This window comes from Homo sapiens, chromosome 14 (assembly GCF_000001405.40).
Source record: "Homo sapiens chromosome 14, GRCh38.p14 Primary Assembly".
Taxonomy (NCBI): Eukaryota; Metazoa; Chordata; class Mammalia; order Primates; family Hominidae; genus Homo; species Homo sapiens.
Window position 1 is genome coordinate 19,900,983 of NC_000014.9, and position 18,457 is coordinate 19,919,439.

Genomic DNA, 18,457 nt, shown 5'->3' on the forward strand with positions numbered 1-18,457 from the left:
CAGAGAAAGAATCCAATCCAAGCAGGCTGTAGGGCAATCACTTGCTAGAGAGACTAGCATGACTAAAGGGCAGCCAAGTGCCAATACTCAAGACAATGGGAAAAAGGCTCCAAATGTATTTATTTCAGAGATCTTGGAGACAGCCCCTCCCATCATAGGGACAGAGGCTTAGGAGGAAAGAACGATTTCAGGGGCCAGGCCCAAGATGGCACTGCTCTGCTCAGCCTCAAGACACTGCTCCCACATTCCGGCTGCTTCAGTTCCAGCCGCAGTTCAAAGGGTCCCAGGTACAGCTTGGGCTGCTCCTTCACAGGGTGCAAGCTGTAATCCTTGGTGCCTTCTATGTGGTGTTAATCCTGCATGTACACAGAAGAATACTGTGGCAAGGGTGAAAAAGGTTTGGCAGCTTCCACCTGTGTTTCAGGGGGTATATGAGGAAGCCTCTATTCCCAGGCAGAAGCTTGCCACAGGGGAGGAGACTTCACAGGGAACCTTTACCGGGGCAATGCTGAGGGGGCAATGTGGGGTTGGAGTCCCCACACAGAGTCCCCACTGGGGCACTGCCTAGTGGAGCTGTGGGAGGGGGGACACCACTCTCTAGACCCCAGAATGGTCAATTCACCTGCAGCTTGCACACTGTGCCTGGAAAAACCACAGGCACTTAACTCCAACTTGTGAGAGCAGCCATGGGGACTGCAACCTGCAAGGCTACATAGGCAGAGTTTCTCAAGGCCTTAAGAGTCCACCCTTTGCATCAATATGTTCTGGATGTGGGAAATGGAGTCAAAGGAGATTATTTTGGAGCTTTCATATTTAATGACTGCCCTGCTGGTTTTCAGACTTGCATGGGACCTATTATCCTTTTCTTTTAGCCAATTTTTCTCTTTCAGAATAGTAATGTTTACCTAATGCTTGTACTACTATTAGAGCTTGGGAGTAAATAACTTCTTTTGATTTTAGAGGCTCATAGGTGAAAGGAGATGAGTCTCAGATGAGACTTAAGACTTTGGATTTGATATTGGAACGAGTTAAGACGTTGGGGGACTGTTAGTAAGAGATGATTATTTTGTGATGTGAAAAAGACATGAGATTGGGAGGGCCAGGGGTAGAATGATATGGTTTACATATTTTTCCCCCCCAGATCTCATGTCGAAATGTGATCCCCAGTGTCGGAGGTGGTGCTTGGTGGGAGGTGTTTAGATCATGGGGGCGGGTCCCTTATGCATGGCTTTAGCACCATCCATTTGGTAATGAGTCGGTTCCCACGAGAACTGGTTGTTCAAAAGCATGTGGCATCTTCCTGCTCCCCTTGCTTCTGCTCTCACAATGCGATGTGCCTGCTTCCCCTTTACCTTTTGCCGTGGTTGTAAGCTTCCTGAAGTTCTTACTAGAAGCTGAGCAGATGCTTATGCTATGTTTGTACAGCCTGCAGAACCATGAGCCAATTAAACTTCTTTTTAAAATTAATTACCCAGTCTCAGGTATTGCTTTACAGTAATGCAATAACCTACTAATATATACTTGTTTAAAATTGCCATTGAAAGCTCTGCTCTCATCTGCAGCTGATCTGGGCACAATGGTTTTGACACCCATTGGGCAATATGATTGCTCAACTTTAATTTTTCAGTCGGAGTTGTGTAAGCTGAACCACTTGAGATGCTTACAGTGTTGACTATTGTTTGTGCGGTTAATAATCAGTCCACTTCAATTAGGGCTGAACAACATGAATTTTTTGCTCACAAATTGATATGGATGGTCTGCCATTGCGGGCGTCTTCTTCAACATCATCTAATTCCTTCTTGAAACAAGTTATCCATTTGCAAATACTTGATTTCTTTGGGCCATTGTACCTATAAGTTTTTAGTAAAGTTTCAATTATTTCACCATTCTTCCATTTTAGCTTCATCATAAATTTGATGTGTATTTTTGCTTCAATTTTAGCAGAATTCTTGTTGCTCTCATAGGACTTCTTTTCAAATTGATGTCTTATCCTTCTTAGTGCCTCAAACTAGATCCTGTTCAGATATATTATAAAAAAGTTATTATTAATTTATTTTGGTGCAAAAATTTGAAATACATCCATAGTCATTTTATATTTATTTTACATGAATCTTTTGAAGACCCTTCATATACATACAATGAAATACTATTCATCCTTAAAAAAGAAGAAAATACTGTCATTTGAAAAAACATGGATGAAACTGGAGGGCATTATGTTAAGTAAAATAAAGTAGGCACAAAATGACAAACACTGCATGATTTCACTTATATATGAACTGTAAAATTTGAACTCAGAGTAACGAAGTAAAATGGTGGTCACCAGAGGATGGGGGGGTGGGACAATTGGGGAGATGTTGGTCAAAGAACATAAAATTTAACTAGACAGGAGGACTATATTTAAGAGATCCATTATACTTCATAGTGACTACCGTTAATGACAGTATATTGCATATTTGAAAATTTCTAAGAAAGTAGATTTTAAGTGGTACTCATCATAGAAAACAAATGCTAAGTATGTGAGGTAATGCCCGTGATAAATAGCTTGATTTAGCCATTATGCATTGTACACAAATATCAAAACATCATGTTGTACAATAAAAATATATAGAATTTTTATTTGTCAATTAAAAAATAAGTTCTTGAAATAAAAAAACACAAATAATCTAGTGCAGCTCCTTGTGAAATCAAAAATATGGCTCTTGGAAAAGCAAAAATAACAGAAGAATAAGAAAAAAGAAAAGATCAGTACTGATGAAAATTAAAGTTAAAAAGAGACTGTACAATTAATTATTATAGATCAGAAAAGTGTTCATAAATTTATATGTTTAGGAAGCTAAACAACTTAAATAATGTAAAAGCATAAGACAACATTCATTGACATGAATTTTTAATTTTTTCAGAAATCATACATTGTCAAATTTTCTAAGGAGGAGAAAATTCAAGCTGTAATCATCATGGATTACATTAAAAGAAGCTAAAAGTATCATCCTATAAAACTCACAAGCTCTCAAAGACTTGGAACCAACCCAAATGTCCATCAATGATAGACTGGATTAAGAAAATGTGGCACATATACACCATGGAATACTATGCAGCCATAATAAAGGATGAGTTCATGTCCTTTGTAGGGACATGGATGAAGCTGGAAACCATTATTCTCAGCAAACTATTGCAAGGACAAAAAACCAAACATCACATGTTCCCACTCATAGGTGGGAATTGAACGAGAACACTTGGACACAGGAAGGGGAACATCACACACGGAGGCCTGTTGTGAGGTGGGGGGAGGGGGGAGGGATAGCATTAGGAGATATACCTAATGTAAATGATGAGTTAATGGGTGCAGCACACCAACATGGCACATGTATACATATGTAACAAACTTGCACGTTGTGCACATGTACCCTAGAACTTAAAGTATAATAATAATAATTAAAAAAAACTCGCAAGCTACATTCATGTTTATGTACAATCTTTCCCAAACCATCAAAGTACAGATAATGCTAGGATATAGAAACACTTTTCTGAGCAACCCCACTAATTTTGTGAGCCTATCATTGTCTTACTACCAAAATAGGAAGTGGATAGCCCAACAAGTTAAAACTACTATAATTGTAAACCTATACGAAAAATCCTAAATAAATAATTAGCACATCAAACCAAAGTTATAATATTCTCATATAACACACCATAATTAAGTGGAGTGTATGCTAAGAATACAAATATGTTTCTATGGGATATCCTATCAATAATTTTTAACATTTAAAATTAAAACAGGAATTCATTTAACATTCGTATTGCAGTGCATCAGCTGTTCTTTGCTGAGTTTCTTCTCACTGATGTGTGGAATATCACTGAAGATTCAGTTCAATTCAATTCTTCGTATAGTGTCGCAGAAATCTCTCCATGTAAAACTCTTCCTAAATCTATTAGAAACATAGTGCGTGTAATTGGTTATAAGTAAGACAAGGGAAAGAGCTCTGGAGTTGAAAGAAAGTTGAAAGTGGTTTGGCTGTCTGGACTTGAACCCTTTTCCCTATTCAACAAGCCAGCAAATATTTAATGGCAAGGAATCATCATGGGACACATTCATACTCCCGTGGTTCCTGTTCAATCCCAAGTCCTAAATGAAATAGATAAATGATAAAATGGGAAAAGGGTGAAATAGAGTGTCAAGAAGAGGAGGTTTACCTAAGTCAATATTTATGATAGTTATAACACCTTAACTCTAAAGTATGTGCACATTTGGTGCAGGTCCCCTTCAAGAACATTTGATCTGAAAGAAGCCAAAACTTGTTTGAACTTTCTCAAAATCTGTAGATAATTGAATCAGGTAAGTCTTTTTTTAAAAAAAAATTTATGTCGACAACTTGCTTGATCCAATTGCTTGAGATTTTTTTTTTGGAAAATGGAAGTAAGACCTTTAACTAGAGAATGAAACTTGGAGCAATGGCTTATGATTCTTGGACTTACAGTTTTGTGCAAAGTCCTTTGACTCAACCACAAAATAATTATATCAATTTTAGTCCAGAGCATAAAATTTGAATTTGGGTATGATAGAAAATGACTTAAAGATCAATTTCTGTAATATTTGAGGGTTTTTTTGGTTCTATGGGTCTTTTTCTGAAATATTGAATAGAAAAGACTCTACAGAAGCATATTAACATCATTCTATACTCATCTCAGTTCAAACCAGCCCACTCTGACATCTAGACAAAAGTGGCATTCAGTAGAGGATATGGTGCCATTCTCTATGAGGATTTCTGGCATTTTTCAAATCTTCATTTTACGGCTATCATCACCTTATCTACTAATATTCTGTACTGACATGTGTACCATTTCAGTTTACATATTCTCATATAGTAAAATGTTAACTGCAAGGGAATTTACCTCAAACCCAAACCATTAACGTAACTTCAGAGACAATATGGATTAAGATTATCCATGATTTCCTTCATGAACCCAAGACTATCTCCTTTGAGGGCTGCATGGCCCAGATATTCTTGTTCCATGTCTTTGCTGGTGGTGAGATGGTGCTCCTTGTAGCCATGGCATATGACATATATGTAGCCATATGCAAACCTCTCCATTATGCAACCATCATGAACTTGTGCACATGTACAGGCCTAGTGGTAGGATCTTGGGTCACTGGAGTTATGCACTCCCTGAGCCAGTTAGCTTTCACTGTAAGTTTGCCCTTCTGTGGCCCAAACATAGTGGACAGTTATTATTGTGACCTTACTTTGGTCATCAAACTTGCCTGTACAGATACTTATATCCCTGAAGCGTTGATGCTTTTGGACAGTGGTCTTATGGGGGTGACTTCATTTTGCTTTTGCTGATCTCCTACACGGTCATTCTGATTACTGTGCAGCGACCTTCCTCAGCAGGTATGGCCAAGGCTCGCAGCACTCTGACTGCCCACGTGACTGTGGTGACCCTGTTCTTTGGGCCTTGTATCTTCATCTATGCCTGGCCTTTCAGCAACTTACCAGTGGATAACCTTTTGTCTGTATTCTCTACAGTTTTCACACCTATATTAAACCCCCTTATCTACACACTGAGAAACAAAGAGGTAAAATCAGCAATTCATAACCTGAAGACCCAGTATGTAACTTCCAGGCTGTCTTCCCAGCTCTCTCTCATAGGACCAGATTTGTTGAATTGAGTAGACAAGTGGGAACTTGAGACACAGACTTTGCCTTTTTCTTCTCACCATCAATGTTTTTAACAGTTAATTTGTTTGCTTGAAATTATAAATGTGTGCTCTTTGTTAAATACTTGTAAAGAAGCCTATACACAATTATGCATTCTTCAATCATACTTGCTATAGTTTTGTAGTTAATTTGCTTATATTTGCTAACTGAAATCAATGACAGAGTGTTTCACAAACTATTGCACAATTTAAAATATTTTGATAAGATAGGAAATTGTTTGATAAAAATTTAGGTGCATATTCATACTTGCTAAACTAAAAATGCTATGTTTCAATTATGGTTAAGATATTCTAAGTAATTTGTGAGATTTACCTTTAGCAGTAAAAACTAATTCCATTAACATTCTTTTCTTCATACATTCATTGTACATCAAAAAGTTCATGCTGTGTATTAAAAAGATCCATAGATTAATTAAGCATGTAAAAACTAATTTTACAAAAATTTAAGATAACACTTTTCAAATCTACTTTTATTTTGTTTTTTCCTCCTCACATACAAAATTTGAGGGATGTAAGAGATCACATTTTTTTTGAAGCTATATAAAATCACTTGATGTTACCAAGGTACCATTTATTCTTATCATTTTGTCACCAAAATTGTGTTAACATCAAAATATGACAGTTAACCAGTTTTAAGTCCATTCAACAGTTACATAACATAGCATATAAAGCTTTAGACACTTGGCAATAAAACCACATACAAAATAGAACAAGAAGCAAAAACAGTTCCTTCAGAACAATAAACACTATAATCTAAAAGCACATTATGATGCTGCCCCAGAGCTGTGGGCTGAATCTTTATGTCCCCCACCCCCTGTAGTGCTATAGTCTGAACATTTTATGTCCTTTTCACATATTGAAATTCTTACCACCAAGTTGATGGTATCAGGAAGTAAAACCTTTGAGAAGTGATTAGGTATTTAGGATGGAGCTCTCATGAATGTCATTAGTGGCCTCAGAGAGCTCCTTCTTTTTGGCATGTGAAGTTAGAGCAACTGCTGTCTGTGATCTAGGTAGTGGGTACTTACAGGCCACTTAATTTACCAATTTCTTTATCTTGAACTTCCTAGCCTCCAGAACTGAATTCCTATTGTTTATAAGCCACTCAGTTTGTGGCATTTTGTTATAACAGCCAGTATGAACTAAGACATCCAGTGTTAGGTAACACCCCAACTTCCTTCAAGGTGATTTCACTCTATTATATACTGTCCAGTCCCTTTGACACAAAATAAAAACAAAAAACATTTATCCAGTGGAGCTACCCTATTCATGTTATGCATTCACTGTGCTTTTAAACACATTGGTTTTATAAGTTGGGTGATTCATCAAACCATTGTAGTGTTGCTTCTTGCCTGGTATCAGCATTATGATCAAAGATTACTTAGAACTGCTATAGATACTCCACATGCATATTTTTTTCCATAATGTGCTAAATATTTTCAGTCTATAAATCCATGGTGAGAGGTTATCAGACTTATCTTGTGTTTTTTTAAACCCATTAACCTTGGTTCCACTTGAGGATTTAATCTAATTACTCTGCTAATTTTTACAAGAATAAAATGGTTTCCTTTGAAACCACAAATATCAGGATCCTCCATACCACTGCATGCTTAAAGTAAGGTAGCAGGAAATTTACACGCGTTATAAACTAGTCCCTTCTTTCAAAAAGTACTTCATCAGGATGGATTGTGAGATTCTTCTCTTCATCTAATACAGCTTTAGAAAATTATTAAAATCTACAAAGTACCTATTCTAGGAAGCTGAATCAGACATACTGAATACATATTTTAATGCCATCACTGACTCTGGAGAAATTTTAAGTCCTGAACTAGGAAGCTGCTGTTTTGGAACCCTATCTTTCAGCACCTGAAGCATAGTCCACATTGTGAACAAGAAGAGTGCAGCTAGGAACCCACAGAAGACTAGGTAGAAGAGCAGGAGCAAACCTCTTTTCCTCTCTCTCACTAGTGGTCCATGAAGTACTGTCTCCTGCTTGGTGACAGGTCAGTGTGCCTCTGCTGCTGCCGCCAACACTCATGTCACTAACATTCATCTATAGCCCTCTCTTCTATAGACAATCACTATGGGATGGAGAGTCTCACTTCCCAGAACATTTACTAAGTCATGACTCAGAATGGGAACAGGCGATTCTAAGAAAATGGCACCTCAGGGCCCCTCTGGCACTTGGTGATGTGCCCCAAATGTTCTTCACTGGCCAGGAGGTCAAGGAACTTCCACTCAGCCTGATTTGGGTTGAAGAATTTCTCCTTCTTTGTTATAGTGGGTGTGGGGAAAATGAGATGACTGGTGGCAGCAGCAATTCATGGGCAGTTACCCAGGGGATGGAGGTTTCAAGGATTGTGGAGGCCATGGCCCTGCTCAGGCAACAGCAGCTGAGAGTGGGAAACAGGCCAAGGATGCCTGATCTCTCCAGCACACACTCAGTCAACTGCAGATGCTTGGATATCATATTGTAAATATACTCATGTATTTTATGTGTCATATCATAAATATTTTCTTAAATACTAAAAATGCCTAATAATGAATTTGTATCATTGAGCATAAAATTTTAATCTGCTAATTTAATGAGAAAATAAATATAAATAAAACCATTGTTTTATTTTGTGTTACCTTAGTTTCTCATGAAGCTTAAAAAATATATTTTGTCAATTGCCCTAACACTTCATTCTCTATTACAGCGTTAATACTGTTTTAATTACCGTTTGTACTTTTGCCAGGTCGAAGAAGAGTAAAGCTGTTTCTATATTTGTGATTATCCTTAAACATATTTTAGGGTAAAATTCACTTTTAGTTCTGTATATTTCTATGGGTTTTGATATGGGTTTTGAAATGCATAGAGTTATATGTCCACCACTGCAGTTCCACACAGAATAGTTCCATCACCCAAACTTTCCTGGTGCTAGTCCCATATAGACAACTTCTTACCACCTCCTACACCTCTGGAAACCATGGATTTCTTTTTTTCTCTGTAGTTTTGCTTTTTTTCAGATATTCATATAATCCTGCAGTGTGTAGCTTTTTGGAATCTGGTTTCCTGCTGGCACTTTAGCAAAAGGCATGTGAAATTTATCCATGTTGTTTTGAGAGTCATCGTTTATTCCATTTATTGATGAAGAATGTATGGGTGGTTTGGAAATTAATAGTGAAGTTGCTACAGACGTCTCTGTATAAGGTTTTGTGTGAACCTAAGTTTTCATTTCTTGTGAGTAGATAGCTAGGAATGAGACGATTGAGTCGCATGGTAGTCATGTTTTTTTAAGATGGCTTTATTAAGGTATAATTGATATGCAATAAGCTGAATGTATTACAGAGCACAATTTGATGTTTTGATGTATGCCCATAAAACTATCTCTACAATCAAACTAATGAATGTATCCATGGTCCCCAAAATTTTCTCCCACCTCTCCCCAATCCACTACTTGTTCTATTGTTTTTCCTTGGTCTGGCTTCTTTAACTCAGTATATTTATTTGAATTTATCCATTTTTATATATGTATCAATATTATGTTCCCTTTATATTGCTTAGAAGTAGTTCATTGTATGGGAATACTACAGTTTATTGATTCGTTCACTGTTGATAGACATTTTTATTGTGCCTCTGTTTTGCCTATTACCAATATAGTTGCTTATTTGTATATAAGTCTTTATATGGCTATATATTTTATTTTTCCATTTTTAGGCAAATAATAAATTGGAATGTCTGCATCATATTGTAGGTGTACGTTTAACTTTTTAAAAGAAACTGAGAGACCCTTTTTTAAGTGCTTACATTATTTTATGTTCCTATATTCCCATGAAAATTTCACTTCCTCTACATATTTGCTAAACTTGTTATTATTTGTCATTTTAATTTTAGCTTCCTCACAAGTGTGGAGTTGCAACTAATTGTATTTTAAATTTACATTTCCCTAATGACTAATTATATTGAACATATCAGACATAATTTAAGTGAGACTATATTGCTAAAGGAAATGTTTTCCAGGATTATACTATCTTCCTAAACTTGTGCAATCCTAACGTCAGCCTCAAAATGTATAAGGTGCAAAATTACAAGGAACAAGAGAGAAACTTCATGACCATCATTAAAGATTTCAATAAAATCTTCACTTCATTCAGTGCTTGTAGAAATATGTAGCAGTCTGTGTCCAGTCAGGAGACAGAAACCATACAACAGATTAAATAGTTTGGTATAAAGAATGAACTATAATGGAAAAGTAACTATAAGATATAAGGAAACTCTACGTGGTGCCCTATAGCAAAAAGAAAGTACCCAAGGAACCACAATCTTAACAGAGGTTGTTAAGTTTCATTGGGAAATGAATGGTTCATCTCATTGGTGAGTAAAAAAGCTCACTGATTTGGCTAGGTCAGAGCTGGTCTCCCAACCACTGGGCAACTAATAGCCCACCTCTTATGCAAGCTGGGGAGGAGGTGATCAGAAACCAGTGGACTGGATGCACAAAGGAAATCAAGGTGCTGGTATGGGTAGAAACTCTTCCAAGTTGTGGGGGGACCCCGGTTTCTGTGTGAAAAGACTCCTGAAAGGTTATCACAAGACCACTGCCTTGAGGTTGTAGAGAGATCAGGTTTCAGGCCTGTGGCTGGGGCTGTCTCCATTCGTTTTCCTCACACCTGTGTTGCTGACCCCAGCGGAGGCCTGAACTGGTAAGAGGGATTCTTCCTCCTGCAATGTGCTTCTAGCACCTTTCTCTGAGAAAGCTAAATATTGTTCTCACTTTAAAGGGAGAAATACTTAAAGAAGACCAAAGGTAGATAAAACCACAAAGATGAGGAAAAAACAGAGAAGAAAAACTGGAAATTCTAAAAATCAGAGCACCTCTCCTCCTCCAAAGGAACACAGCTCCTCACCAGCAACGGAACAAAGCTGGATGGAGAATGACTTTGATGACTTGAGAGAAGAAGGCTTCAGACGATCAAACTACTCCGAGCTAAAGGAGGAAGTTCGAACCAATGGCAAAGAAGTTAAAAACCTTGGAAAAAAACTAGATGAATGGCTAACTGGAATAACCAATGCAGAGAAGTCCTTAAAGGACCTGATGGAGCTGAAAACCATGACACTAGAACTATGTGATGAATGCACAAGCCTCAGTAGCTGATTCAATCAACTGGAAGAAAGGGATCAGTGATTGAAGATCAAATGAATGAAATGAAGCGAGAAGAGAAGTTTAGAGAAAAAAGAATAAAAAGAAAGAAACAAAGCCTCCAAGAAATATGGGACTATGGGAAAAGACCAAATCTACGTCTGATTGGTGTACCTGGAAGTGACGGGGAGAATGGAACCAAGTTGGAAAACACTCTGCAGGATATTATGCAGGAGAACTTCCCCAACCTAGCAAGACGGGCCAATATTCAAATTCAGGAAATACAGAGAACACCGCAAAGATACTACTCGAGAAGAGCAACTCCAAGACACATAATTGTCAGATTCAACAAAGTTGAAATGAAGGAAAAAATGTTAAGGGCAGCCAGAGAGAAAGCTCGGGTTACCCACAAAGGGAAGCCCATCAGACTAACAGCGGATCTCTCAGCAGAAACTCTACAAGCCAGAAGAGAGTGAGGGCCAATATTCAACATTCTTAAAGAAAATAATTTTCAACCCAGAATTTCATATCCAGACAAACTAAGCTTCATAAGTGAAGGAGAAATAAAATACTTTACAGACAAGCAAATGCTGAGAGATTTTGTCACCACCAGGCCTGCCCTAAAAGAGCTCCTGAAGGAAGCACTAAACATGGAAAGGAAAAACCAGTACCAGGCACTGCAAAAACATGCCACATTGTAAAGACCGTCAAGGCTAGGAAGAAACTGCATCAACTAACAAGCAAAATAACCAGCTAACATCATAATGACAGGATCAAATTCACACATAATAATAGTAACCTTAAATGTAAATGGGCTAAATGCTCCAATTAAAAGACACAGACTGGCAAATTATCAACAGAATATACTTTCTTTTCAGCACCACACCACACCTATTCCAAAATTGACCACATACTTGGAAGTAAAGCACTCCTCAGCAAATGTAAAAGAACAGAAATTATAACAAACTGTCTCTCAGACCACAGTGCAATCAAACTAGAACTCAGGATTAAGAAACTCACTCAAAACTGCTCAACTACATGGAAACTGAACAACCTGCTACTGAATGACTACTGGGTACATAATGAAATGAAGACAGAAATAAAGATATTCTTTGAAACCAACAAGAACAAAGACACAACATACCAGAATCTCTGGGACACATTCAAAGCAGTGTGTAGAGGGAAATTTATAGCACTAAATGCCCACAAGAGAAAGCAGGAAAGATCTAAAATTGACACCCTAACATCACAATTAAAAGAACTAGAGAAGCAAGAGCAAACACATTCAAAAGCTAGCAGAAGGCAAGAAATAACTAAGATCAGAGCAGAACTGAAGGAAATAGAGACACAAAAAATCCTTCAAAAAATCAATGAATCCAGGAGCTAGTTTTTTGAAAAGATCAATAAAGTTGATAGTCTGCTAGCAAGACTAATAAAGAAGAAAAGAGAGAAGAATCAAATAGACGCAGTAAAAAATGCTAAAGGGGATATCACCACCGATCCCACAGAAATACAAACTACCATCGGAGAATATTATAAACACCTCTATGCAAGTAAACTAGAAAATCTAGAAGAAATGGATAAATTCCTCAACACATACACCCTCCCAAGACTAAACCAGGAAGAAGCTGATTCTTTGAATAGACCAATAACAGGCTCTGAAATTGAGGCAATAATTAATAGATTACCAACCAATAAAAGTCCAGGACCCGATGGATTCACAGCCAAATTCTACCAGAGGTACAAGGAGAAGCTGGTACCATTCCTTCTGAAACTATTCCAATCAATAGAAAAAGAGGGAATCCTCCCTAACTCATTTTATGAGGCCAGGATCATCCTGATACCAAAGCCGGGCAGAGACACAACCAAAAAAGAGAATTTTAGACCAATATCCCTGATGAACATCGATGCAAAAATCCTCAATAAAATACTGGCAAACCGAACCTAGCAGCACATCAAAAAGCTTATCCACCATGATCAAGTGGGCTTCCTCCCTGGGATGCAAGGCTGGTTCAGCATACACAAATAAATAAACATAATCCAGCATATAAACAGAACCAAAGACAAAAACCACATGATTATCTCAATAGATGCAGAAAAGGCCTTTGACAAAATTCAACAACGCTTCATGCTAAAAACTCTCAATAAATTAGGTATTGATGGGACGTATCTCAAAATAATAAGAGTTATCTATGACAAACCCACAGCCAATATCATACTGAATGGGCAAAAACTGGAAGCATTCCCTTTGAAAACTGGCACAAGACAGGGATGCCCTCTCTCAACCACTCCTATTCAACATAGTGTTGGAAGTTCTGGCAAGGGTAATCAGGCAGGAGAAAGAAATAAAGGGTATTCAATTAGGAAAAGAGGAAGTCAAATTGTCCCTGCTTGCCATGATTGTATATCTAGAAAACCCCATCAACTCAGCCCAAAATCTCCTTAAGTTGATAGGCAACTTCAGCAAAATCTCAGGATACAAAATCAATGTACAAAAATCACAAGCATTCATTCTTATACACCAATAACAGACAAACAGAGAGCCAAATCATGAGTGAACTCCCATTCACAATTGCTTCAAAGAGAATAAACTACCTAGGAATCCAACTTACAAGGGATGTGAAGGACCTCTTCAAGGAGAACTACAAACCACTGCTCAATGAAATAAAAGAGGATACAAACAAATGGAAGAACATTCCATGCTCATGGGTAGGAAGAATCAATATCGTGAAAAAGGCCATACTGCCCAAGGTGATTTATAGATTGAATGTCATCCCCATCAAGCTACCAATGACTTTCTTCACAGAATTGGAAAAAACTACTTTAAAGTTCACATGGAACCAAAAAAGAGCCCACATTGCCAAGTCAATGCTAAGCCAAAAGAACAAAGCTGGAGGCATCACGCTACCTGACTTCAAACTATACTACAAGCCTACAGTAACCAAAACAGCATGATACTGGTACCAAAACAGAGATATAGACCAATGAAACAGAACAGAGCCCTCAGAAATAATGCCGCATATCTACCTTGCTTGAATGAGAATATCTGGTGAAACATATTAATTTCCATTGGAAGATGAACCTTGGCTATTTAATACTAAATCTTAAAAGCTGCAATTGGTCACTTAGATAAATTCATGGTACTCTTACAATTTGACAAAAGAAAAAGGTACTAACCACCTGTACCCTGATAACTTATGGAAAAAATAAATAATTAATTTAAAAAAGATTAGGATGTTCATGTGTCTGTGTCTGAGCGTGCTAGGGATAACTTGTGAGAAATTATGTACAGAGATGAAGTATACTTGGGGAGACACTTGGGAAAATTATGAAAAACTCTGACTGCACCTAGGAAAATCCATCATGACACTCTTACCTATTACCTAAAGAAATTAAATAGGCATGCAAATCAAGGCTATATATTACTTTGTAGAGTAAAACTACACAAAAAAGTTATGAGAATGTTAAATACAAAACTCATGTTATAGGTCTGTAGTTATAGTATAATCCATAATTTATTTTTATTTGCACTTAAAGTATATAACAGGATTTATTTAACCCTACACAATAAAATGCAAATTTATTCTTCTTAAAGCATCTCGTTATTTCTATAACTTTAAAAAGTTGGTAACTAAAGTATGGTTTACTTCCAATATAACAGATAAACTATTTTCTCTATGCTTCAACTCAAACCAGTTATGTCATTCTTTTTGCATTAGCTGGTTGATTGTTGGCACTTGTTTTTATTACTTAATTAGGACATTGTATTACCAATTAGATGAAATATTTTTGCTCCATGTAAAGATGGAGTTTATGTAGGTGGTATATGGTTTGCAGAGTTCTAGGCCATTCACTGGGAAGGAGTCTATGCACAGGAAAGTAAGAAGGTAAAACTATTCAGTGAAAGACAAATACAGGGTGAAATATATTTCCATTAATACTATAACACATTTATGGACAAAGTACTTTTGGCATGTCTCTCTACCAAATCCTGTGAATCATTCATAAGGAGCACAATAATTCAAGAAGTTTCAGTGTGGAAGAGAAATAATAGAGTTAGCTATCATAATAATATTTCTCTTCCACACTGGGAGTCTTACCTTATGTTTTGAGAGTCCCCAGCTAAATTGGGGTTCCATACCAGAGTGGCTAGCAATCCTGTCCTAATGAGAAATGAAAATGAGCTTGTTCTGGGTGTTTCCAGTGTGTCTTTATGGGATATGTCTTTTACCTGGTGAAAGGCTTAATGCCTAGTTGTCATGACCAGGGAGTTCCTCACACAGGAAATTTTATACTGGCAGATGCCCCTGCAGCTTTTGTCTGACCTATGTCTAGCTGATGTCTACCAGACCAGCACTCTGGAGGCTGGAAGCCTGATCTTGTGTTCTCCCAAGCATTCCAGGGAAAACTCAGCCTGGGCCAGCCCCTGATTCTTCAGGTGGGTGATGCAAATTCAATACATCACTGCAATAGAAAAAAAGTTCAATGATTTTTATTTAGCGATCAGGCAGGGAGAGTGCAATAAGTTGGGAGGGCAGTCCTTCATCTCAGTGTCATGTAGGACAGGAATGAAGAGTCAAGCAAAGGGATGGTGAGAAAGCCTGGCATTTAGCAGTACACCTGAGGGAACAGGGTATGGGTTACTTTAAGTTCACCAGAAAATGACTGAAGGGTCCATTTAAAGAAAGCTACAGGAAAGCAGGGAGCCCAGTTGGCCAGGTGGGAGAGATGCCTCTAGTTTTTATCTCTGGCCAACAGCTTGAACCATTTGAATGTACTGTAGAACTGGAAACTGTGTCAAGGGTAACTGAGCTCGGCTTCTGGTATGAGAAAGTGGAATTTGTATTCAAAATGTATGCCAAGCCAACATAATTCACTATACCTTGGGAGAAGATATAACGCATATGCAAGCAAAGTGCTACAGAAACATTAGGACATAGAAATTTCAACTTAAGCCTCTAGGAAGGCTTTTAGAGGTGGTAACATTTGTGTTGGAATAGACATCTGTGAAGGACACGAAAAAATGGATAAGGAATTGTTTATCAGCTTAATAAATGTTGAGTAGTCTGTTATTTTTTGCTAGAGAGCAGTGTATGGCATAGGTAAAAGCAGGTTCTATATTCTTGGCTCTCATGCTAAGGACATTCAATTTTATATATATATATGTGTGTATATATATATGTGTATATATATGTGTGTATATATGTGTATATATATGTGTGTATATATATGTATATATATGTGTGTATATATATGTGTATATATATGTGTGTATATATATATGTATATATATATGTGTGTGTATATATATGTATATATATATGTGTGTGTATATATATGTATATATATATATATATATATATGCTTAAGGAATGATAAGATGTTTCAAGTGGAAGAGTGAGGTCCAGGAGAAAGGTAGGTTTTCCCTTACAGTTAATTCAGACAAGTTTGAAGGAAAAGAGTTGAGTTGAGTTGGGAAATTGTGAGAGCTGAGCTTTGAGATGGCTATGTATAGTCACATTCAAAAACTGTCAGAAACAGATTGGAATATTGGAATGTGGGGGCGGCGGGGGGAACAGTACTGCAAAATTAGAGATCATAATACAGAGGAAATGACTGATGCCAAGGAGATGAATGGAATGCCGAAGAAAGGGAGATAACAAGGAGCAGAAATAGATTAATAAGGACATAAAGAGATAAAGAAGAGTTCAAGAAATGCAGAGGGAAAAGGAAAAAAAATTGGAATGCCAGAGGCTAAGACCTCTTGGAATCTACTTTTAAGGGGCAGTAGCATGGATAAAGGAAGCTAACATTAAAAATTATGAAAGGAAAACCAAGAGGCATTCTGTTTAAGAATTAGCTATCATTACCAGGTCTTTGGGGACATTTGATAAAGTAGTTTTCCTGACTGTGGCAGCAAAAGGCATAGTTAAGCATGTTAAAAGTCTGAGTAGTAAAAAAGATTTGGAGAGAAACATGTAGACACTACTACACAAAATTTCTTTTTTTAAAAAAAAGAAAAATTAAGAGAAAAAACAATCAAAGATAATAGAAGAGTTTAGGAGAGTTCTTTTTCTTATTTCTTTGATGAGTGAATCCGAGCAACTGTCAGTAGATGAAAAGATTAAATGAAAAGTTAAATGAAACAGGGAGAGACTAAAAAGGCAAGCCAAAGACAACTTAACACAGTAGCACAGTGGTTCTCAACTGGGAGTCATTTTTCACCTCCTCAAGTGGACATTTTGTAATGTTTGGAGACATTTTTGTTGGCATAACTGGGGGGAAAGTGTAGCTGGCATCTAATGGGTAATGCCAGAGATGCTCCTGAACACCCTACAGTAGTCACATGACAGTCTGTTTCAACAAAGTAATTCAACCCCAAATGTCAATAATGCCAAAGTTGGGAAACTCTGGCTCAACTGATGAATGAATGCCTCATAGCAGGTGAAAAGATTAGAATCATGAGCATATATTGAGGGAATTTCCAGTTGTAACATAGTGTCAATGGCATGAGTTTTATATTCAGATCTGAAACAGGATGTTGTAATGTGGCAAGACCTGGCCTTGGAGTCAAATACCAGGGTTCAGATTCTAGTTTAATGGCTCTCCAGCTATGGAACTTCAGGGAAACTGCTTATCATCTCCGTATCTCTGACTTCTTATTGTAAGATAGAATTAGTAAGTGCATTTACCATGCAGTGTTATGGGAAGATTCAATTACTATACATTAAGAGCTCAGAACAGTGCCTAACACTTTGATGCTTAGTAAATGTTAAATATTATTTTTATTATCTGATTTCAAATCCCCACTGAGATGTTCTGACCCTTACTAGATGTCTGACCACAGATTAGTAAACATGTCTAATCTTTGTTTTTCTCTTCTGCAGTTTAGTAACCCCTTTTCCAAAGGTCTGTTGTAAAGATCACCTGATAAAACATGTATACACAGTAGATGCTATCTAGCAGCGTCTGAACAAATGCAAGCTCTCTTTGCCCTTCATTTGTAAATTTTAAAATTATGATTCATCATTCACTATATTTAAATCTGCCTCAATTTTTAGCTTAATACATTACATTCATACAATAAACATTTTCGTTAGGTAGAGTTAATCATTTTATGTAATAAATACATGAACTTGAGCAAGGACACTTTTATTTTAGAAATGGGGGAACAAAATGAGTCACACATGGCATAAAGTGATTACATCATATTTCAGAATCCTCTTAGTTATTGCCTTCTTGTATATTATAGACACTGATTTGTTGTTACTAATGCTTTAAACAATTATAATGAGTCATCTTTTTGTTTGCCGTAGTTCCAGAGTTTACAATAATGTATATCCAAAATGTGGCCCAGTGGAATGCTTCTCTGAACCTTCTTCCAATAGAGTACACAATATGATTGTTTACTGTGGGGCTTCCCGGTGTGGATTGCAACTGCATTCATCTAAATGAGAGACTAGGTCTGTAGCCTAGAGACAAAGGAAAGACTCTGGCTTCTTGTATGAAATAAATTAGCAGAAAAAGATGTTCATGTTCTCACATGGGACTAGAATTAGATCATTACTCTCTCAGGCCTCTTACTATGACTGTTGTCAACAGTTAATTGTCAGAACTA

At 37.1% G+C, this 18,457-nt stretch overlaps 1 long non-coding RNA gene and 2 pseudogenes across 1 annotated transcript in view; 1 reads left to right on the plus strand and 2 right to left on the minus strand.

Moving 5' to 3' along the window:
• Positions 1-1,478: 1,478 nt before the first annotated feature.
• Positions 1,479-18,457, minus strand: part of LOC124903278 (uncharacterized) — a 46,274-nt gene continuing 29,295 nt past the window's right edge. Inside the window, exons 3-4 of the long non-coding RNA XR_007064055.1 lie at positions 6,030-6,100; positions 1,479-2,015 (exon numbers count right to left, since the gene is read on the minus strand). This is a non-coding gene — a long non-coding RNA (uncharacterized LOC124903278). The remainder of the gene's footprint in view (positions 2,016-6,029; positions 6,101-18,457) is intronic.
• On the plus strand, positions 4,730-5,662 carry OR4K4P (olfactory receptor family 4 subfamily K member 4 pseudogene; annotated as a pseudogene).
• LOC100421751 (ATPase Na+/K+ transporting subunit beta 3 pseudogene) lies at positions 7,017-7,663 on the minus strand (annotated as a pseudogene).